At 46.6% G+C, this 23,776-nt stretch overlaps 1 long non-coding RNA gene across 1 annotated transcript, besides 2 other annotated features; it reads right to left on the bottom strand.

Annotated features, from left to right (window-relative positions):
• Positions 11,242–11,536: a silencer, noted in NCBI's record as "tiled region #9347; K562 Repressive DNase unmatched - State 12:CtcfO". NCBI's record gives its function as "represses a minimal TATA promoter and a strong SV40 promoter by Sharpr-MPRA in K562 cells {active_cell/tissue: K562}" and the evidence as "EXISTENCE:reporter gene assay evidence [ECO:0000049][PMID:27701403]".
• Positions 13,027–13,076: a silencer, noted in NCBI's record as "silent region_16522". NCBI's record gives its function as "represses an Ori minimal core promoter by ATAC-STARR-seq in GM12878 lymphoblastoid cells {active_cell/tissue: GM12878}" and the evidence as "EXISTENCE:reporter gene assay evidence [ECO:0000049][PMID:35858748]".
• Positions 17,626–23,139, bottom strand: LOC124901115 (uncharacterized). Its single transcript, XR_007059003.1, has 3 exons — positions 22,928–23,139; positions 22,372–22,435; positions 17,626–21,633 (listed from the first exon to the last, which is right to left on the bottom strand). It is a non-coding gene; the product is annotated as an uncharacterized LOC124901115 (long non-coding RNA).

Raw genomic sequence — 23,776 nt, forward strand, 5'->3', positions numbered from 1 at the left:
TTCCCTGGAGCCCCAGCTCTCAAGACGTCTTGCCTCCAGCCTCTTTGAGCCTCCTGGGAGAGCAGGTTCAGATTTCACAATTTCCCACTGCTGGATTTTTGGTCATGTGTTTTGAAGTTCATGCCTGAGAAACTTGAGCAGCATGAGTTTGATAAAGTTGCCAATGAGATTTTTGATGGTTGGTGTACCAGTCAGGTTAGGTTAGGTTTTGCTGAGACAATAAAAAGCATAACACAAGACTTTGTGACTTAACACAAGAGAAGCTAAGTTTTTGCTCACACTACGTGTCCAGAACGGGCAGGCAGTGGGCTCTGCTTCACAGAGACGTTCCACATCGTCATATAACACAGCCTTCTCAACATGACGGCTTTAGGATTTGCTGCACAAAGAGAAGGGAGTGTACCGAGAATAGTGCATAGGGCCTTAACTGCTTCCACTTGGAGGAGACGCACATTAGGTCCACTCACATTTCATTGGCCAAAGCAAGTCAAACAATCATGCCCAACTTTAAGAGGATGGGAAAGTGCAATGTGTGTGCAGAAGGAGAGGAGAATCAGAAATATTGGCAAATAGCATAATGTCTACCATAGTTAGCAATCAATAAGTAGCTACTACTTCTTCGGCAAGTAGGGTGACTTATCCTGACTTGCCTAGGATTTTCCCACTCTTAGCCCTGGAAGTCCCATATCTCCAGAGACTCTTCAGTCCCAGTCATGTTGGGATGGTTGGTCACCCTATGGCCAAGGCATAGTCAAGGTGCAAGAGAAGACTCAGTTCTTGTTCTTGAATTAGTTATAATCTGGAGTGCTTTTGTTTGACATTTGATCTATATGTAAGAAAAAATGGGAAACAATACAAAATAGGTTTTATAAAGCTAATGCCAAGTCATGTGCTTCATGCAGGAGGTATTAGCATTAAAGAGAAATAAGATACCAAGGTGGGTGGGGATAGTCAAGGAGGACTTCATGGGGGAATACTACAGCCAAAGGATATTCATACCAAAAGGAATTCTAGAACGTCAGGTTGGGTTGGAATTTGATGCATTGCACTGCTTGCAATGAAGAACACTGACTAATATAAATCTTTGTTATCATGTCCTTTCTAGGTGCTTATGCAGCCTGTGTTTAATACTTTCAGTGATGGGGAAATCACTACCCATCTTTTCATATCTTGCCGGAGGGGAGAAGCAAGGAGGAATGATTATAAGAGGGAAGAACAGCATGAGTCAAGTCAGGTTAGAGCATGGAGGCTGGCAAGTTAGGCAATGAGGGATTCATGTTGGTAGCTAGGTTGTGTGTAAAAGAACAAAAGTTGATGTTGTGGGCTCTTTGGGGGAAATATTGGAAACAACAATACGAGGATTATTCTGAGCATCTTTCTTTCTTTCTTTTTGAGACGGAGTTTTGCTCTTGTTGCCCAGGCTGGAGTGCAATGGTGCAATCCCGGCTCACCGTAACCTCCGCCTCCTGGGTTCTAGTGATTCTCCTGCCTCAGCCTCCCAAGTAGCTGGGATTACAGGCATGTGCCACCACGCCCGGCTAATTTTTTGTATTTTTAGTAGAGACAGGGTTTCTCCATGTTGGTCAGGCTGGTCTCGAACTCCCAACCTCAGGTGATTCTCCTGCTTCAGCCTCCCAGAGTGCTGGGATTACAGGTGTGAGCCACCACGCCCAGCTTATTCTGAGCATCTTTCATGACAAAAATTTAATATACCCATATGTAAAAAGTTTTGCCTAGAATTTCAGGCAATTCAGGGACCCCACACAGCCCATGCAGTGGGGCTATGCGTGGATCCCAGGTGAAGAACCTCTCAGCTCAGTGGTCCCAATTACCCTGATTTGATCATTACCCATTGTGTACATGCATGAAATATCACACGTATGCCCCAAATATGTACAACTATTAAAGGTCTTTCTAGCCCTAAAGCTTTTTCTCTATAGGTTCTTCTGATTGGGCCCAAATATTCCCCAAGCACATGTCCTCTGCCCAGAGTGACTTTCTTCACAATCCACCTCTGTGGGTTATAATTCTATCCATACATCGAGGAGCAGCTCCAATGCCTCTCCTTCCAAGAGCCTGGCAGCACTTGTTCTCTGGCTCTCTGAGCACACGTGGCAGTTTTCCTCTGAGCTTCACTTGTTGGTGTGCTCTGGGTGTCCTCCCTAATGGATGAAGGATTATACAGCTCTGTCTCCTCCCTCCTCACCCCATCCCATCCCACTGAGAGATTGCCAGTCACCTTACTCAACTTCCATTCTTCTCTCTTCCGTAATTACAGAATCCTGATCATTCTTTGAGCCAGCAAAGTACTGGGCTAACAGGCTACTTACGCAGCTTTCCTTGCATCTAGGGGTGGCCAGGGATATGTAAGGGGAAATTATGGGTTAAGGCTTCCAGGAAAACTTTTAATGGGAGGATGACTCAGCTGGGAGCAGGGCTCCCCTGTTTTGTGCTCCCCCTTTTCCTGCCTGGAATACAGACCGGATGGCTGAATCCTGGCACCCATCTTATTACCTGGCGCCAAAATAAGGAAGGAGTCTTGATCTCTGATTAATTTATGGTGTCCCAAGACCAGCCTTGATCAACTACTTCCAAACCTTTACACATAATAAACAAAATAGTTTAAGCCAGTAGGGAAATTATAGTTAACAATAATTAATTGTATTTTTCAAAATAGCTGGAAGAGAATTGTAATGTTCCCAACACAAAGAAAAGACAGATGTTTGAGGGGATGAATATCTAAATTACCCTGATTTGATCATTACACGTTGTGTACATGTATGAAATAGCACATGTATCACATGTATGCCCTGAATATGTACAACTATTATATATCAACTTACAAAATTTTTAAAAAATGTGTTTTAGTCAGTGCTGTTGAGATTTTGTTACTTATAGCAGAGTGCATTTCTAACCAATACATAGGTCACTAATTAAGTTTGATTATATTGAATTTAATTAGAATAATTTACTCGTAGGGACACTCTGTAAAGCCCCAGCTTCAGTTCTGGAGATGGGAAATGAGGCTGTGTTGATTAAGGTTCCCTGGGTTTTCTGGACTCTGGATAGAAAGGCTGGTTTTGGCCAGGCACGGTGGCTCATGCTGGTAATCCCAGCCCTTTGTGAGGCTGAGGCAAGTGGATCACTAGAGGTCAGGAGTTCGAGACCAGCCTCGCCAACATGGCAAATCCTGTCTCTACCAAAAATACAAAAATTAGCCAGGCATGGTGGCATGTGCCTGTAATCCCAGCTACTCGGGAGGCTGAGGCATGAGAATCTCTTGAACCCAGGAGGCAGAAGTTGCAGTGAACTAAGATTGCACCACTGCACTCCAGCCTAAAAATAAAGGTTGGTTTTGACAGGCTCCTCTTGAAGAATGAAAACACCTGAAATTGTTGAGTCCTTAGAATTCTACTGGAGTATTTCTCAAGATATGGGCAGGCTCATTTGCTTCAGAAGCATCAGGGATTGGTTAAAGTGCAGTTTCTCTGGACTTCTCTCTCTTTTCCCCATCCACTGCATCAGGACTGAGAGGACTGAGTCAGAGGAATCTTCACACTCAAGGTTGAGCTTTACTGCCCCAAAGCTTGTGTGGGTCTCCTTGCCAGGGAACTGAATTGCTACATGGATTGGATTGGATTGTGTTGAATTGAATGAAAGGGTAAGTCCTTGGAAAGGAGAATTGAATCTGAGTAACACTAATTAGCAAGAAGTCATCCCTGCCTATTTTCCCAGGAGAGCTGTAGTTTGGGATTTGGGCTGCCTTGGGAGAGGCATCAAAAGATTCACTTTACCACTTTCTTTACCAAGAGTCAGTTCATGTAAATCATGGTCGGCCAGTGCTTTCTCTGTTCAGTGAAGTTCAGATAAAGATCCCTAAGGAGCTTGGATGGTAAGAGTAGGAGGAGCACAGAACATCACCTAGAAATACTCTCTCTTTTTTTTTTTTGAGACAAAGTCTCGCCCTGTTGCCCAGGCTGGAGTGCAGTGATGCAATCATGGCTCACTGCAGCCTCGACCTCCGGGGTTCAGGTGATCCTCCCACCTCAGCCTCCTGAGTAGCTGGGACTATGGGCATGTGCCACCATGCTTGGCTAATTTTTGTATTTTTTTGTAGAGACAGGGTTTTGCCATGTTGCCCAGTATTGTCTTGAATTCCTGGCCTCAAGTGATCCTCCCGTCTTGGCCTCCCAAAGTGCTGGGATTACAGGTGTAAGCCACCATGTCCAGCTGCCTGGGAATACTCTCTAGGGAAAACTGCACATGCTTTCCTTAAGTAAGCTGTGGGGTCTGGAGGCCGCTAGGAATGAACAATAGTGAACATTTCATTGCATCAGTGGCTCTCAAAATGTGGACCAGGCTTTAACAGCATCAGCATCTCTTGGGAAATTGTTAGAAAAGCATCAGACATCCTGGGTGTGGGCCTCAGCAATCTGTGTTTTAACATCTCCTCCCCATAATTGTGATGTGTGCTTATGTTTGAGAACCACTGCTTTAGACCTTCATGTCCTCCTCATGTCTGATAGATGTCTGATAGACTTAAAAAAAATGGACACAGAGATGAGGGACAAAGTAGGGTCCAGGGCTCAGTGAGTCGATGGGTAAGCACTGTTTTCTGGGTTTGAGACATCCTTGGCAACACTGGGTGTCTAGTGTCTAGACCACCCCTACCCACATCCTTCGTGTGAAACATGGTGGACTGTTCCATGGGCTACATGAGCCAGGCCCTGAACCACCCCACATCTAGAGACCTTAGGAGAATCCTTCCTTGCTTTGGAGATTCTGAGGCTCCCTTTTGGATACAGTCTTCTGATGAGCAGCGTGTTGATTTATAAGTAATTGACTGAGCAGGACTCCAGCATTAGCTTGGGTCTTTCCAGGCTCAGAACAGAGCTGGGTATTCACTTGCCCGGCTGCAAGCAGACAGTAAACTCCCTACCCCTCTACCTTGCCTCCCCCAATATACATCTCATCAAGGGACCATCTGCACCTTCTGCATATTCCCACTGACATCATGCTCTCAATTCTATCCAACTGCAGACACATTAACTGTATAGCCTTGTTCAGTGGATCCTCATTTCCAGCAGCCCACTTCATTCTTTGATTTGAAAAGTGAATATTTTTCAACCTGTATAGCCTGCTATGTAATCATAACTTAAGCAACCGTTTTCCAACAGACGACTATGCCTTGACCCCTTCTTCTGGGAAACCTGGCATTTCCTGGTCCTGGGTCCTGATGCATCTTCCTTGTTCTACCCTAGTGGGAGGGTCTTACCCACATAAAACAATGGGAATGAGAGTTGGAGGATGGTGAGGTCAGCAACTGGGCTTTCCAAACTGAAAATTGGACCACATGAGGTAGCAAAGAAATTTTGTGACTTATGTATATTTTTATTGATCTGATTCTATTCATGCATTACTGTTCGCCAAAATATTGGAATTTCTGGGACATTTAGAGGGACAAGGAGGTAGAATAATATTTGTAAATCGGAGTGGCCCAGAATATATGGGAGATATACCTAGGTCTGCAGGTTAAAACCCAAATGTCTATAGGGCTAGGTAGGTACCTAAATTAGAAAAAGGCTAGTATAAGTTGGGGACAGGTGCAAACTGGGGGCCATATACCAAACCAAAAGGAGCACAGGTGGCTGCACTGCAGTGGATTGGTGTTAGAAGGAAATGGAGGCCCTGATTGGCCTGACCTTCTAATTTTCTAAGTGAAACTGAAAATCTTTTTTCTTTTTTTTTAAGAGATAGGGTTTTGATGTGTTGCCCAGGCTAGAGCGCAGTGGCTATTCACAGGCACGATCATGGTGCACTGCAGCCTCAAACTCCAGGGCTCAAGCGATCTTCTGCCTCAGCCTCCCAAGTAGCTGGGACTATAGGTGCATACCACTATGCCCGGCTCAATTTTTTTATTTTTATTTTTGGCAAGGTCTCGCTTTGTTGCCCAAGCGGGAGTGCACGGCACAATCATGGCTCACTGTAATCTCAACCTGCTAGGCTCAAGTGATCCTCTCGTCTCAGCTTCCTGAGTAGCTGGAACTACAGGTGCATGCTACCACACCCAGATAATTTTTGTATTTTTTGTAGAGATATGGTTTTGCCATGTTGGCCAGGCTGGTCTCGAACCCCTGGGCTCAAACAATCCTCCTGCCTCAGCCTCCCAAAGGTCTGGAATTACACGTGTGAGCCACTTTGTCCAGCAACCCCACCCCCCACTTTTTAAATGTAAAATCTCTCTTTCTCTTTTACACAAACACATGCACACAAATCACCATGCAAGCTAAACAAAATATTTGCAGGAGGTTACATTGCCTGTATTCCAGGTAGACAAATAATGCAACAAGGGTTATGGAAAAATACCATGGAAGCAAAAGCAGTGATTAACTCTGTCTGGGAGAGTGAAGGTCGGGGCAGCTTCTCCAAGGATGTGATGTCTGAGCTGAGCTGTGTAGATTAAGCAGGGGTTCTGCTTGTCCACAAAGTGGGAAGAACATTTTATGCCCAGTGGCACTTTCAGGGGGGCCTCGGAGGCTCAGTGCAGCTGGAATACTGGGGGAATGCAGAGAGCGAGGAAGATACAGATAGGCAGAGGCCTTGAAGGCCTGGCCAAGACATTTTTCCTTTATCCCGTAGGAGTGGGAGTGGTGTGGTCAGATTGGTGGTATCCAAGGTCACTCTGGGGCTCACGTGGAGAATGGCGAGGAAGCGCTGTGCTGAAGCAGTCAAGTATCTACTGGAATAGTTCATGAGAGTGTGGGTGAGGATCCCAAAGGCACTTTGGTGCAAAAGGATTGCAGCCTTGAGGGCCAGCTCAGGCCCTGTCCTCACAGAGCTCCCGGACTGATATAATAAGGTAACTACGGTGCGCAGCAGTGTGGGGTGCCTTTGGGTAGGCGGAGAGCAGTTTCCTCTACTCTTAGCCTGGGAGGCGGCAGCTAGCGGCCGGCAGTGTTGTGGTTACCAGGGCCTTGGGTTACAACACATGTTTGTTTTTTAAAAACGTTGCGATACCTTTTAAATCAGGGCCCTGGACAGGGTCCAAGGACAGTAGCAAGGACCAGCCCCCATGGTGCTTCTTAAAGAAGCAGCTGCAGAGGAGGGACGGAACCTTGGGAACCTGGATTTCTGGGGGACCCTAAGTTCAGGCAGGGCTTGGAAGCTGGGCAAGGCTGGACGCAGCCTCCAGTTCACCCCATTCCTCCTCTTCCTTCCTCAAGGCTCTTTTGGCTCAGGAGCACTTGGAGAAGATGAACTGTCTTCCAAGCTGTCTTGGAAAGCTACAAGTGGTAGGCAGAGGCACCCAGGAATGTAGAGTCCAGCTCCTCGAAAGAAAGGAAGACCAGGCCGGGCATGGTGGCTCACACCTGTAATCCCAGAACTTTGGGAGGCTGAGGCGGGTGGATCACAAGATCAGGAGTTCAAGACCAGCCTGGCCAAGATGGCGAAACCCCGTCTCCACTAAAACTACAAAAATTAGCTGGGTGCGGTGGCAGGTGCCTGTAATCCTGACTACTCAGGAGGTTGAGGCAGGAGAATTGCTTGAACCTGGGTGGCAGAGGTTGCAGTAAGCTGAGATCACGCCACTGCACACTAGCCTGGGTGACAGAGCAAGACTCTGAAAAAGGAAGGAAGGCAGGCAGGCAGGCAGGCAGGCAGGCCTTCCAACTGGTCAAAGATTCAGGGGTCTGGCTTGACAGGGAGTGAGTGCCCCATTGCGGGAGGTGTTCAAGCAGAAGCTAACGTTGGTCAAGTGTGTTGGAGAAAGTGTACAAGGGTCTGCTGGAGGAGGGGTCTGGAGGGAATGGACTCTTAGATTTGATTGGGACTGGAAGAGATCTTCGTCGTAGTCCCTTTTCAGAGGCAAAAGTTATTCTTTTCTTTTCTTTTTTTTTTTTTTCTGAGATGGAGTCTTGTTCTGCCGCCAGGCGGGAGTGCAGTGGTGCGATCTCAGCTCACTGCAACCTCTGCCCCCTGGGTTCAAGCGATTCTCCTGCCTTAGCCTCCCAAGTAGCTGGGACTACGGGTGGGCACCACCACACCAGGCTAATTTTTGTATTTTTAGTAGAAACAGGGTTTCACCATGTTGGCCAGGATGGTCTCGATCTCCTGACCTCGTGATCCTCCCACCTCGGCCTCCCAAAGTGCTAGGATTACAGGCATAAGCCACCGTGTCTGACCAAAAGTTATTCTTTAAAGGAGTCAGGATTAGGTAGGATTCAAGAGACTTTCACTCTTGTGCAGTGTTGGTGAGAATGTAAATGGTGCAGCCACCGTGGAAAACAGTATGGAGATTTCTGAAAAAATTAAAAATAGAACTGTATGATCCAGCCATCCCATGAAAAGAGATCTACTCTCCTGTGTTCATTACAGCATTATTCACTATAGCCAAGATATGAAAACAACCTAAATGCCCATCAACAGACGAATGGGTAAAGAGAATGTGGTGTACACATATGACGAAATTGTATTCAGGCTGGGCACGGTGGCTCACACCTGTAATTCCAGCACTTTGGGAGGCCAAGGCAGGTGGATTACCTGAGGTCAGGAGTTTGAGACCAGCCTGGCCAACATGGTGAAACCTCGTCTCTACTGAAAATACAAAATTAGTGGGTGTGGTGGCATGGGCCTGTAATCCCAGCTACCCGGGAGGCTGAGGCAGGAGAATTGCTGGAAACTGGGAGGTGGAGGCTGCAGTGAGCCAAGATTACACCACTGTACTCCAGCCTGGGTGACAGAACGAGACTCTGTCTCAAAAAAAAAAAAAAAGAAAAGAAAAGAAAAGAAAAAGATAAAAGAAACAGTATTCAGCCTTAAAAAGAAGGAAATCTTGTCTTTTGTGACAACATGGATGAACCTGGAGGACATTATGCTAAGTGAAATGAGCCAGTCATGATGCCATTTATAAGAAATATCTAAAATAATCAAACTCCTAGAAGCAGAGAATTGGATGGTGGTTGTCAGGAGCTGATGGGGGAGGGTACCGGGGAGTTGTTGCTCAGTGGGTATAAAGTTTCTGTTATGCAAGATGAATAAGTGCTAGACATCTGCTGTACAACAGAGTGCCTATGGTTAATAATACTTTATTACACACTTAAGAATTTAAGAGGGTAGATCTCATGTTAAGTGTTCTTACCATAAAAAAAAACAAATGAAAACAAACAAACAAACAAAAACCAAAGGGGCACAGGAAACTTTTGGAAGTGATGGATATGTCTATTACCTTCATTGTGGTGATGTTTCATGGGTGTATGCATATGTCCAAACTCATCAAATTATTCACATTAACTATGTGCAGTTTTTTTGTATATCACTTATACCTCAATAAAGCTGTTTTTGTTTTGTTTTGTTTTGTTTTGTTTTTTGAGACGGAGTCTTGCTTTGTCGCCCAGGCTGGAGTGCAGTGGCCCTACCTGGGCTCACTGCAAGCTCCGCCTCCCAGGTTCACGCCATTCTCCTGCCTCAGCCTCCCGAGTAGCTGGGACTACAGGCACCTGCCACCACACCAGGCTAAGTTTTTTGTATTTTTAGTAGGGACAGTTTCACCGTGTTAGCCAGGATGGTCTTGATCTCCTGACCTTGTGATCTGCCCGCCTCGGCCTCCCAAAGTGCTGGGATTACAGGCGTGAGCCACCGCGCCCGGCCAATGAAGCTGTTTTTTGAAAAATAGAGACTTCCATTCTGATGCTTGGTTTGCTATTGACTTGCACCATGACTCTGGATAATTCACATACATTCACATTCCCCACCCCACTCTTTGCTCAATTCCTGGCTTCCAGTAAGCACTGCAAAGATTTGTTGAACAAATGGGTGAATGAATGAATTAGTTGGACTGAGTATGAAGTTTACATTCACACTTGTGCATGTATGAGTAATTTCATTTTTTTTTTCTGGGTAAAGGCCTATATCTTGAATTGCCATCACCATCATTTATTGAGAATTTACTATGATATGCTAAGGGCTTCGTATACTTATCACATTTAATCATCAGAACGCGGAAGGGAGACCGGACGGGCTACCACTTCCACTGTATTAATGAGAAAGCTCAGGTTTGGGGAGGGCAAGTCTCTTGCCTAGGGTCCTACTCTGGGATTTGGACCTAGGTCTACCAGACTCCACAACCGGAGCTCTAAAGCCCCATGATAAATTACTTCAGCTTCTCAAAGAGATCTGTGACCCCAGAAGGGTGAAGAGAAAACGCCCTACTGCCCTAGATTCTAATTATCCGAGAGTCTTTGGGGGAACGGGTCGGGTGGTTTGCTGGGGCGGGAATGGAGGAGAAAGCAAGTAAGCAAGAGCACAGGAGGGCAGAGCCCAAGCCAGCAAGGGCTGCTATTTACAGTAGCCCCAGAGCCCCCAGAGAGGATGATAAGGGGGCGGACTGGGAAGAGCAGTTGTAAGAGGAGCCAGGGAGCGGGAGGGGGTGATCTCCTCCCCCGGGCCCTGCTGCCTCCAGCTCACCCTGTCGCCTGATGTCTAAATAAGGTGCAGAGGCACACTCCCAGCAGCTAAAAATAAAACTTCCGCTCCCCCTCCTGCCCTTGGGCTCTGGCGACCTCCTCAGCCCCATCGGGACTCCCCCTTGGCCCGACCGGCTCCCCCTTGGCCCTGAGGCATGCCCTTGCCCGAGCTATAGAATCGTCTCCCCTGAACCCCGACTGCAAGAACATCTGGACCAGAAGGCAGGGGGCGTGGGTCTCACACTTGGCTCTGCCTTGACAAACCTGGGCAAATCTCTTTTCTTCTCTGGACCTCAGTCTCCCCACACGTAAAATGAAGGCATTAGAATAATGACGTAAAGCTCTAGCATTTTTGAATGAAGCCAAGATCCCATACTCTGGGGTCACATTTCACCAGAGTTTGCCCACTGCAGTTTTGTAGGTTCGGCAGATCCACGCAGAGTTTTTTTGTTTTTGTTTTTGTTGTTTTTTTTTAGGCGGAGTCTCTCTCTGTCGCCCAGGCTGGAGTGCAGTGGCACGATCTCGGCTCACTGCAACGTCCGCCTCCCAGGTTCAAGCAATTCTTCTGCCTCAGCCTCCCGAGTATCTGGGATTACAGGTGCACGCCACCATGCCCAGCTAATTTTTTATACTTTTTGGTAGAGACGGGGTTTTGCCATTTTGGCCAGGCTCGTCTCAGACTCCTGACCTCAAGTGATACACCCTCCTCCGCCTCCCAAAGTGCTGGAATGACAGGCGTGAAACACCACCACATCCAGTTCCACGCAGTTTTTTTTTAATAAATATCGGAATTATCTGCTCTCCATTAAATATTTGGAGAGTTCACATAAAAGTGGATTTCCAGCTTCTCTTGAAAAATCTGGCCACATCTGGCCGGCGTGTGTCCAGCAACAATGAGCCTGAGTTGGGTAGCGGCCGCCCCCTCTTGGCGGCATGGATGTACTACAGGTGGTTGGAGGCATTCTAACCGTTTCTTCCATCCCTGCAGTCAACGGTGTGTGAGGCGCCGGGATTACAGTGAGTATTCTGAGTATAGGCAGATTCTGTTTGCATCCCAGAGCCCGGGACACTGGTATTGCTCTGCCTGGCAAATGTTTGCTGAAATAGCCGGCTAATGGAATGCTTTGGAAACTGTAAAGGATGCATGATGATGGTGCCTCCTGCCTGAAATTTGGTGCCAGAGTACTGCTAGTCCCTGTACTGGAATCCAGGTCCCAAGCCCTAAGGGACAAGGTCCTCATACCCTCACCCCAAACCCAACCCGATCCCTCCTTGGGAGGCATTAGACAATTAAGACTCTTTTAGGTACTGCCTGGACCTTCCAAGACATCGGTGGGATTACCCTTCGTTGGAAAACTGCTGGCACAAACAGCCAGGGCCTACTAAACTCAAATAATCCTGCAGCCCCTTTGGAGGGGCAAAAGGAAGAGGGTAGGAGGGGAGGTAGGAGGAGTAGAGCAGAACTGTTTAGAGAACAGATTTCTGGTCAGCCTGCTTGGATTCACCCACCTTCTCTTGGGCAACTCATCTGAGATACACACTTCACTGAATTAAAGAGTACTGAATTTGGGTTGGGTATGGTGGCTCACGCTTGTTATCCCCTTCTGTACTAAAAATAGAAAAATTAGCTGGGTGTGGTGGTGGGTGCCTGTAATCCAGCTACCCAGGAGGCTGAGGCAGGAGAACCGCTTGAATGGGGGTTGGCGGGGGCAGAGGTTGCAGTGAGCTGAGATCACGCCACTTCACTCCAGCCTGGGTGAAAGAGCATAGCTCTGTCTCAAAAAAAAAAAAAGGTACTAAATTTGGACTGGTCCTCAGACATCACAGAATCAGCCAATCTCAATGTAGCAGGATGAGCCCACAGACAAAACTCCTCAGACACTGAGTTAAAGAAGGAAGGGGTTTATTTGGCCGGGAGCATCAGCAAGACTCCTCTCTCAAGAGCCGAGCTCCCCGAGTGAGCAATTCCTGTCCCTTTTGAGGGCTCACAACTCTAAGGGAGTCCACGTGGGAGGGTCGTGATCAATTGAGCAAGCAGGGGGTACGTGACTGGGGGCTGCATGCACCAGTAATCAGAGCGAAACAGAACAGGACAGGGATTTTTACATTGCTTTTCCATACAATGTCTGGAATCTATAGATAACATAACCGGTTAGGTCAGGGGTCGATCTTTAACTACCAGGCCCAGGGCGCATGCTGGGCTGTCTGCCTGTGGATTTCATTTCTGCCTTTTAGTTTTTACTTCTTCTTTCTTTGGAGGCAGAAATTGGGCATAAGACAATATGAGGGGTGGTCTCCTCCCTTATCAACATACAGTGTTGAGTGATAGGGCATAAGGAAGAGAATCTAGGAACAACTGAGGCTCTGTCCTTCCTGTCTTGTTTCAGTAAGAAGAAGGGGTGGGGAAAGTTCCCCAGACACCTTCCTTAGGGGTATATAGTGACTCTATCTGTATCCCACTCCTACCACCCAGTGGTGGAGAAAGCCAGTCTAATCTGGACCCTAGCTATTCAAACTGTGGGGCTCAGACCAGCAGCTTTGGTGTCATGGGGAGCTAGTTAGAAATGCAAATTCTCAGGCTCCACTCCAGACTTGCTGAATCATAATCTGCATTTTAGTGAGATCTCAGGTACTTTGCATGCATGTTACTGTTAGGGAGGCCTTTAGAACAGTGGTTGTCAATGTCGGCAGCATATTGGAATTCTCTGAGGGACTTTAAAAAATGTAATACATAGGTCCCACCCTGGTGTGTAACCTGAGCATGGGGAGGGTTTCAAGCTCCCTGGTGACTCCAATGTGTAGCCAGCATTGATCATCACAGCTCTAGAAAAAAGCTCTACTGAGATGAAAATCTTTGGGAATCAAAGCGATGTCTGCCTACACAGAAGCCTCCCATCTTGGGTCCACAGACTGAGGCTGATGAGGATGCTGCTCCCAAGCCTGCCTTCCCTAGCCCTGCCCAGCCTGCTTGACAAGTCCAATCCCTGCTCCCCATTGTCCAGCCTCTAAGTGCTCTCCAGATTCAGACTGTTGAGGTGAGAAGGGGGTGGTTCTCTTATCAGCTCTGCAATCTTGCCCAGAGGTGTGGCCCTGAGCTGGGAGACTGGAAACCTGAGTACTTACCCTAGCTCTGCTGAGTGGTCTTGGGCAAGGTAATTTCTGTCTCTCAGTGACAGCTTCAATGAACTGTTGCCCTGGGGGAAAAAAGCTGGTGTTTCCAAATTGTCTGATTTTTCAGAAAAAGCTGGAAATCTACGGTTTAATGAGAAATCACTTCTGCTTCTTTTTTTTTTTTTTTTGAGATGGAGTCTCACTCTGTCGCCCAGACTGGTGTGCAATGGTGCAATCTCGGCTCACTGCAACCTCCGCCTCCCCGGTTCAAATGATTCTTCTCCTGCCTCAGCCTCCCGAGTAGCTGGGATTACAGGCTCCCGCGGATTACAAGTTCCCGCCACCATGCCCAACTAATTTTTGTATTTTTTAGTAGAGATGGGGTTTCACCATGTTAGGCTGGTCTCGAACTCCTGACCTGATCCACCCGCCTCGGCCTCCCAAAGTGCTGGGATTACAGGCGTGAACCACCACGCCAGCCGAAATCACCTTTTAAAATTGTTCATTAGCAATTAAGTAATATTTTCTAAGAAACACCATGCAGACAAACAAATCATGTTTGAGGCTGGCATCACCTGTCTGTGATCTCTACATCTGACCCACATGACTGCCACACACATATCTGAGGTGTAAGTGTTACTGATTGAGGGTTTCCAGGTTTTTGGCATTTTGAACAAAGAATCGGACAAAACGCACAAAGCAAGGAAAGATTGAAGCAACAAAAGCAGAGATTTATTGAAAATGAAAGCTCACTCCACAGGGTGGGAGGGGGCCCAAGCAAGCGGCTCAAGGGCCCGGTTACAGAATTTTCTGGGGTTTAAATACCCTCTAGAGGTTTCCATTGGTTATGTGGTGTATGGCTAGAATGAGGAGGTTAAACTGAAGTTACAAAGTTATTTACTTGGTGTACACTCTATGTAAATGAAGAGGACGAAGTAAAGTTACAAAGTCATTTACCATGTAAATAAAGAGGATATTTCTTGTCATAGCTAAAGTGTTTCAGTTTGATCGAGTTCTGGGAAGTCTTTAGGTTCCCTGCCTCCAGGCCCTATTCTCCTGCCTCATATGCACTTTTAACACTCAGGGCACACACACACACACACACACCCCAGGCTTTAGATACATGGCTGGTCCCCAACAACACCCATACCCACCACACACAAGCAAGACTGGTAGGTTGTACTGGGCCATATTATTTCAAGGCCCAGATCCTTGCCGTTAATAGTAAGCTGGTAATAATTTCTAGTTTTTATTTTACTTTTTTTTTTGAGACAGGGTCTCGCTCTGTCGCCCAGGCTGAAGTGCAGTGGCGCGATCACAGCTCACTGCAACCTCCACCTCCTGGGCTATGGCAGTCCTCCCATCTCAGCCTCCTGAGTAGCTTGAACTACAGATGTGCGCCGGATAATATTTGGTATTTTTTGTAGAGATGGGATCTCACCATGTTTCCCAGGCTGGTCTCAAACTCCTGGGCTCAAGTAAGCAAGCACCCACCTCTGCCCCCTAAAGTGCTGGGATTACAGGCATGAGCCACTGCACCCAGCCTAATTTCCAGTATTCTAACCAATCACTCTTAGAAGGTGAGTTCTTCAAGGACAGAGGCCTTGCTTTAATAATTGTCACTTCTATGTATGTGTGCACTTATTATATGTACGTCAGATACTTTACATCACTGTATGTCAACCTTGGCTGCACATCTTAGTCACCTGGGTTTTTGTTTTTTTTTTAAGTACCAATGGTTAGGTCCCATCTCGAGAGATTTAGATGTCTAGAGTGTGGCCTGGGGGTTGGGATTTTTAAAAGCTCACAGAGGACTGCAATGTGAGGCCCCGGCTGGGAAGCATGGCCTGATGGTCTTGACCATGTTTAATTTTTCCATTGGCTCTTTCCCCAAGTGTTTCTCGTTTCTCCCGGGGAGAGTCAAAGCCCACCTCCTCAGAGAGTTCTTATCAGACCCCTAAAGGCAACCCACCCCAATTTGTGTTACCATAACCTGATTTTTTTTGTCATCTAGTATTATTACTTGATGCTATCATCTTGTTTATTTCTTTCTTTGCTGATTGCCCTTTACTCTAGTCATAGGCGGATGGGGTGTGCCTGTGGGGGCAGGGGCAGGGCCTTTATCTTGTTCAGTAGTTGAATCGATTAGTCAATGAGTGAATAGTTTTTCACTGAGAGGTAGTTTCATTATTATCATCTTGAATCTTCATTTTGCAAATGAGAAAACTGAGGCCAGAGAGGTTAAGGCCCTGCCGAGGTTCTCTCAGCAGGAGGTGGCAGGGCCAGGGTGCAAGCCGGGGTCTACCTGATTGGGAACATGTCCCTTCCCTTCTTCCATCTTGTTTATGGTTTGGTTTCCAGTCACTGTGTCTGTGACCTTCCAGAATTTCATCCAAATTCCTTTATGTGGAGATGCCAGGTACTCTCATCTGAAAGGAATATGCCACTGAGGTGGCTGGGAGAGTTAACCTTTCACTGACTAAGGGTGTTGACCTCTTGTATTATGGTGGAGTGTGTCTGTAGGAGTCAAAAGGAGGTGGGTAATGGGGTTGAGGGGACTTGGTTGCTAGAAAGATAGACAAGGAATGATGCTGGAAGGGTCTATGCAGCCCCTTCCTATTTTCCAGTGATGCTGCAGGGCATACCATGCTGGCATTGTGGTTACCTTGAGCAACCACACAAACCTCCACCAAGGAGCAGAGCCACAGGGGCATCTCTCACCCACATCCACCAAGAAGCAGAGCCACAGGGGTGTCTCTCACCCACATGTACCAAGGAGCGCAGCCACAGGGGCATCCATCACCTACACACCCACCAAGGACCAGAGCCACGTGGGCATCTCTCATCTACACATGTACCAAGGAGCAGAGCTACATGAGCATCTCTCACCCACATCCACCAAGGAGCAGAGCCACAGCGGCATCTGTCACCCATGTCCACCTGGAGCAGAGCCACATGGCCATCTCTCATATAATCTGTAGGTTCAGCCTTAGGAGAAGTGATGTCTAGTTTCACTTCTTCTGTGTACCACTGGGCAAGTCCTCTTCCTCATGGATCTCATGAAGAGGTTGTGTTACTGGTAGAGGGTCTTGACTGCAAGTTGTCCAGATTCTTGGCATTTTGAACAAAGAAATGAACAAAACGCACAGCAAAGCAAGAAAAGAATGAAGCAATGAAAGAATGCATCCAGGCACAGTGGCTCCAGCCTGTAATCCCAGCACTTTGGGAGGCTAAGCGGGTGGATCACCTGAGGTCAGGAGTTCAAGGCCAGCCTGGCCAACTTGGCAAAACCCCATCTCCACTAAAAATTACAAAAAATTAGCCAGGCGTGGTGGTGAATGCCTATAATCCCAGCGACTTAGGAGGCTGAGGCAGGAGAATCGCTTGAACCCAGGAGGTGGAGGTTGCAGTGAGCAGAGATGGCGCCACTGCACTCCAGGCTGGGCAACAGAGAGAGCATCCGTCTCAAAAAAAAAAAAAGAATGAAAGTGGGGATTTATTGAAAATGAAAATACACTCCACAGTGTGGGAGCAGCCTGAGCAGCAGCTCAAGGGCCCCTGATACAGAATCTTCTGGGGTCCAGATACCCTCTAGAGGTTTCCTATTGGCTACTTGGTGCTCCCTTCATGTAAATGAAGTGTTGGCCCACAATCAGTCTGATCGGTTGCAGAAAGCAACCAATAGGAGGCTGAAATGTCAAAGGTCACACTCCTGTGCAAACATCTGATTGGCTGCATAAAGCAACCAGTTGGCTAGGCACAGTGGCTCAAGCACTTTGGGAGGCTGGAGACGGGCGGATCTCCTGAGGCCAAGAGTTTGAGACCAGCCTGGCCAACATGGCGAAACCCGTCTCTACTGAAAATATTTTAAAAATTAGACAGCTGTGGTGGCAGGTGCCTGTAATTCCAGCTACTCGGGGGGCTGAGGCAGAATTGCTTGAAACCGAGAGGCAGAGGCTGCAGTGATCTGAGAGTGTGCCATTGCACTCCAGGCTGTGTAACAGAGCAAGACTCCAACTCAAAAAAAAAAAAAAAAAAAAACACCAACCAATCAGAGGCACTTTTAATTTCCCATCTGCTGTGCAGACAAGGTGAGGGTTTGCAAAGGCAGTAGTCTCTGGTCCTTTTGTTACTTAGGTGTGGAAAGTTAGGGTTTTCGTTTCAGTTTAGTTCTAGGAAGTCATTGTGAAACAACCTTAGGTTCCCTTCCTCCAGACCTGTTCTCCTGCCTCATCTCATCCCTGAGAGACGTGATCCCCATAAATCTTTATGGGAGGCAGAGGGACTGATGGACTTTCTTCTGTAACTGCTTCATGCTGACTTGGGAGTAGTCCTTATCTGTTGGAGATCATGGAACTCTCTCCCTACTCTGTCTAGTGAAGATAGGGTGGCTTCTTGATGGCCAGGGGTGGTGTCTTCACTTGGAACTGGCTGGAAACCTTGTTGCATGATCATCTGAGGCTTGATAGTCTCTATGCGAGAGGAAATGAATTCGGTTAAAAGACTTAATGGGAACTTTGGGTGTGGATACCTATGCTGTCAGGAATGTTTGTTATAAAAATGTATTAAAACATTCAACTTAATTACTACAAAGGAAGTGATTCTATCCATTTGGAAGAAGGCAATTAAACTGCAAAAATAAAATAAATGACTACTATTATCCAGCCTACGGTAATTATGCAACAAAGGCACCAAGGAAAATTGGTAGGCATTTACTCATCTTTTGGCTGTCTTTTAAACAGGAACTTCAGGGCTTCCACAGGTTCACAGGTGTAGTGGCTGATGGAAACTTCAGGTTCCTGGTCCGGATCTTCTGGTATTGCTGGCTTGATCCTTGAAAGATGTACCCAATCTAATCCTTGTACTTTGATGGCAGAAGGCATAGCCAGTATTACTGAACATGGTCCCTTCCATTTGGGTTGTAATTGTTGAACAGTTGATCCCTCCTTGCGTGTTTTAACAAGTACCTTATCTCCTGGCCTGATTTAGGGTCGCTAGTTAGTTCCCAGTATGGGGAGCCTTTGAATTCCACACTTTTGTAAAGCCTGCTGAAATTGTCCTAGGTTGACTAGGTATTTTACTGGCTGTTTCTGGATCAGTAATTATTAGTTAAGAATGGCCTTCTGTATAACATTTCGTTATATTCGCTTATATTAATTTTTGCTCTGGGGTATTATGGATCCTTAAGAGGGCAATGAGCAGTAAGCTGACCCAAGTTTCTGATGCTTCCTGACGTAGCTTAGCTAACACCTGTTTTAGAGTTTGGTTACCTGTTTCTGCTTTCCTGGAGGATTGAGGCCTCCATGCTGAATATAAATGGTATTTGATTCCAAGAGCCTTAGCAACCACTCAAGTTATTTGGAGATAAAGGACAGGACGTTATCACTTTGGAGGCTCTGAGGTAACCCAAACCAGGGGATTATTTCTTTTAAGAGAACCTTTATAATCTCATTAGCCTTCTGTGTTCTGGTAGGATAAGCTTCAACCCAACCAGTAAAGGTATCTACTAGTACTAACAAAAACTTGTACCCTCTGCAAGCTGGCATATAGGTGAAGTCTAATTGCCAGTCTTCCCCTGGAAACTTTCCTCTCCTCTGGACTGGTTCTATTAGAGGAGGATTTTGTTTCCTGGATTGTTAAGTGCACAGAGTTAGCAGGCTTTGTAGACCTGCTTAGCCACTGAAGTTAGACCCAGTAAAGAGCTTGTTTACCATAATCAGAGTTGCATCCCTCCCAACATGGAAAGAATCAGGCAGGGTTTTTATAACTTTCCACTGGGCTGTCTGAGGGAGATATATTTTTGACCCCATATACTAAGAGGATCCTTCTTTTTGTCCTCCTTGATTCTTTATTAACTGTTCTTACTAACCAGTATTCCCTTGAAGCCTTTAGAACAGGTAAGATGAGGGTATTGCAGGGAGAATTACAGGGTTTTAAGAGCCCATGGGTAAGTAATACCTCAACTATGGGTGCTAGGTCATTTCTTACTTCCTGCTTAATTGGGTGTTATTTTTGACTGGGAAAACAGCTGGGGTCTTCAAGCTGTATTTTGACTGGCACTGCTGTTTTAGCCTTCCTCAGTTTTCTAGTATACAATGCCAGCAGGTTAACCTGTTTATTAATGTGGTCTTGGACATTGTCTGTATTTTTGACTATTAGCAATTTCACTGGGTGATGCTTAAATTGTAGTAGTGCCCTTATTTTAACCATAATCTCTCTTCCCAGCAGGGGGATTGCGTAGCTTGATACTACTAGGCACTCCTGTTGGAAGATTCGTTTCTCAAATTGACAAATCAAAGGAGGAGTAAAAAATCTGGTTTGTGGCTTCCCTTCCATTCCCATAACACTCATGGACCAGGAGGGAAGTTTCCCTGCATAAGCAGTAAGGACAGTGTAATTTGCCCCTGTAACAAAAAGAAACTGAATTTGGGTGCCCGTGACATCCAGAGTTACTCCAGGCTCCCCAGTAGTAATTACAAAGTTCCTGGACAGGGGCAGTGAGGAAGACCCCGGGCCCCTTCAGTCTTCATCTGATTCCTCCTTTCGCACTGCTAGAGTTTTGCCTAACCCAGCCCCTCAGTGGGAGCAGAGGCAATCAATTCTCCAGTGCCAGGGTTCGTGACTGGTGCCTTTGCGTTGACAGCAGGGGCCTGAGGGGAGCTGGAGGGCGGGGGCTTAGTACATTCCTTTGCCCAATGCCCGCTTTTCTTGCATTTGAAGCAAGACTTGCCTTTGCTGGTATTATCTTTATAGTCCTTCGGGTTTCCCTTAGATGCTCTTTGGGCATTCAGGGCATCACCAATGATGGCTGCCATAATTTTGGCTTGCCGTCTTTCTTTACTCTGTTCTCTTTTTCCTTCCTCCAGGTCATATTGTTATACACCATAAAGGCAGTATTAAGAAGCTGATTTTGATTAGCTTGTGGCCCCATCTGTAGCTTTTGGAGTTTACGTCTGATATCTGGGGCAGATTGGCTAATGAAATGCTGTGCCATTAATATTTTGCCTTCGGGAGAAGAAGGGTCCAGATTAGTATATATTTAAAGGCTTCCTCCAGCCTACCATAAAACATGGCTGGATTTTCCTCCTTGCCTTATGTAACCTCCCTTACTTTATCATAATTTACTGCCTTAGTTAATCCCTTTCTCATTCCTCCAAGGACAGCCTCAAGAAATTTAGCCAGGTGGTTCATTCCCATGGGGGCGTTATAGTTTCAATTAGGATCAGTAGTGGGAACTGTGTCTGGGCCTCGGTAATTGCCCTGAGGGTTTCAGGTGGATAATTCATCCACTTCCCTGCTGGCAGCCTCAAAGATTTGTTCCTTTCCTGAGGGAGTGCCAACAGGTTGCTAGAATGAATTGACCATCTCTCCATGAGAGATCAAAGGCTAAGGTCAAAGTGTGGAACTCATCTGCAAATTTCCTAGGATTCTCAGAACAGCTTCCTAGCTTTTCCTTACATTGTTGAATATTAGTTATAGAGAAGGGGGCCTGCACTAGGACTGGCCCCTCAACTCCTGCTACTTCCCTAAGGTGTAGCAGGGCTGGAAGAAGAGCTGAATACAGGGTTCCCCTCCGAATGTGAGGGGGACTTAGTAGGGTCTCTGGTGTTTGCTCCTGGGGTTGAGCCTCAGGAGCACTTGCAAGGGGCTATATGGGGGTGGTCACTGTTCACTCTGAGAGACAGGTGGCCCTTGTAAGAGGGGGTCATCTATAATATGTAGTTCTCCCTTAGAACTTTCCTTTGTGGGGTGGGTTCTGGGAGTTTCACAGATTGTTAGGTTTTGGTAAAGCGTCATGGAAGTCTGCATGTACAAGATTTCTGACCATGTGCTCTGTCTCTTGCAAAATAGGTCTAATTGCAGGATGATGTCATAATTAAGGCTACCATTGACTACCCATTTTTTCCAGGCTGGGCAGCTCATAATGGAGCCAGACAGTACTGCAGAAAAAAATTATATGTTTTCTCTTTAGATTGTCAGGGTCAAATTGATCGCAATGGTGGAGGACGTAGCCGAGCGGGGAATCAGGTGGAATAGGTAGAGAGTTGCCCACAGTGGTCTGGAAAAGAGAAGAGGACTGACCAGGTGACCCAAATTTTACCTGAGGCATCCTCCTGGAAAAATTCTGGGCCCAGACTGGGGTCCCTGGGAGCATCTCCCCATTAGGGCCCTGACTTAGCCTGTTAGATGTCTCTGACCTTAGATAGGTGCAGGCATTGCTTTGGAATGGTTCCCTCCACCACTGAAGACCTACTGTGAACTTTCCTTAAGGTTTTCCCATGCCACTTAAAGCAACTTTTTTTTTTTTTTGAGACAGGGTCTTGCTCTGTTGCCCAGGCTGGAGTGCAGTGGCATGATCTCGGCTCGCTGCAAGCTCTGCCTCCCAGGTTCATGCCATTCTCCTGCCTCAGCCTCCGAGTAGCTGGGACTACAGGCGCCGACCACCATGCCTGGCTAATTTTTTGTATATTTAGTAGAGATGGCGTTTCACCGTGTTAGCCAGGATGGTCTCAATCTCCTGACCTCGTGATCCGCCTGCCTCGGCCTCCCAAAGTGCTGGGATTACAGGCGTGAGCCACCGCAGCCGGCAAAGCAACCCTTTAACTCTCTCAATTTAGGCAATAATAGATTACCTTTCATGAATTCCCCCCACTCCCCATGCATCACACAGACCACCTACGACATGCCTGGACCCTCTGACTCATATAACCTTTTTGCATAGCTAGGTGGGTTTTCTGTCCTTAGCCAGTCAAGTGGGGGAAGGGAAGGGAAGAATTTAGCATAAGGTTTAAGTCACCTGAAACGTGTGAGTTTGCCCTGGATGAGCTGCTGCTGCTGCCAACCCAGACACAGGTAGGGATCTATAATCAGAAAGGACAGAAAAGAGTCTTTCACCCTTCTGGGCAGGGCAGCCGTCCCTGTTCACTCTTTGGCCTTCAGAGAACACTGGAGAGTGGCCCCGGCCAGTTTCCCTCAATTACCAAGGAGCTACTAGGAAACGACCAGTGAAAGACTGAAAAAGCAAAAAACAAACAAACAAAAAACAACAAAAAACAAAAAGGAATAGAACTCAGAAAAAAGAGAGAAAAAAAGAAAAGGAATAGGACTCAGAAAAATGAAAACAAGGAAAAAGACTTCTCAGTGACCAGGCAGTGGCGGTCAAGTGCTTCGACACGGAAGCCTTTCAGTCTCACCAGAGAGTGGCCCTGGCCAGAAACTTACAATTTCCTCTGTGCTTAGGCGCTGTCCACCGAGTTGGGTTCCGAGTTGGAAAGGAAAAGAGAGAGGGAGAGAAAAATTCCCCTGCATTAAAAGGGAAATGGAGAAAAATAAATCCCAAGCTTTGGGCCTACCTTCTCTCCTGGCTGGCTTGCCAAAATATGTTACCAGTAGAGGGTTTTGACTGAAAGTTGTCTAGGTTCTTGGCGTTTTTGAACAAAGAATTGGAGAAAACACACAGAAAAGCAAGGGAAAAATGGAGCAATGAAAGAACAAAAGCAAGGGTTTATTAAAAATGAAAGTACACTCAACAGTGTGGGAGCGGGCCAAGCAGCAGCTCAAGGGCCCAGATACAGAATCTTCTTGGGTCCAAATACCCCCTAGAGGTTTCCCATTGGCCACTTGGTGCTCACCTCATGTAAATGAAGTGGTGGCCCGCAATCAGTCTGACTGGTTAATCAGAGGCCGAAGTGAAGTTACAAAGGTCATGCTCCTGTGCAAACATCTGATTGGTTGTGGAAAGCAACCAATCAGGCTGAAGTGAAGTTACAAAGTTGCACTTCTATGCAATTTTAACATATAAACTGAAATGTAGCATAGAAATCGAAATGTACTTTCAATTTCCCATCTGCTGCACAGAAAAGGTGGGGGGTTGTAAAGAGAGTAGCCTCTGGTCCTCTTGTTACTTAGGTGTGGAAAGTTAGGGTTTTCCTTTCGATTTAGTTCTAGGAAGTCAGCGTGAAATGGCCTTAGGTTCCCTGCCTGCAGACTCTATTCTCCTACCTCAGTTGGGCTAGGTGAAAGGGAAGAGTTGATCAGAATGGGAGGATCATTATGTAAAGTATGGAGCTTAGTTAATAATAGTGTACCAATGTCATGCCCTCAGATTTAAAAAAAATTTTTTAATTTTTTATTCTTTTGCCACCTCCTTGTCGCTGGCAGTGCCCCCCAGTTATGCACAAGCACAAGCTCTGGGTCTGCAG

The sequence above is a fragment of the Homo sapiens genome, chromosome 5 (assembly GCF_000001405.40).
Source record: "Homo sapiens chromosome 5, GRCh38.p14 Primary Assembly".
Taxonomy (NCBI): Eukaryota; Metazoa; Chordata; class Mammalia; order Primates; family Hominidae; genus Homo; species Homo sapiens.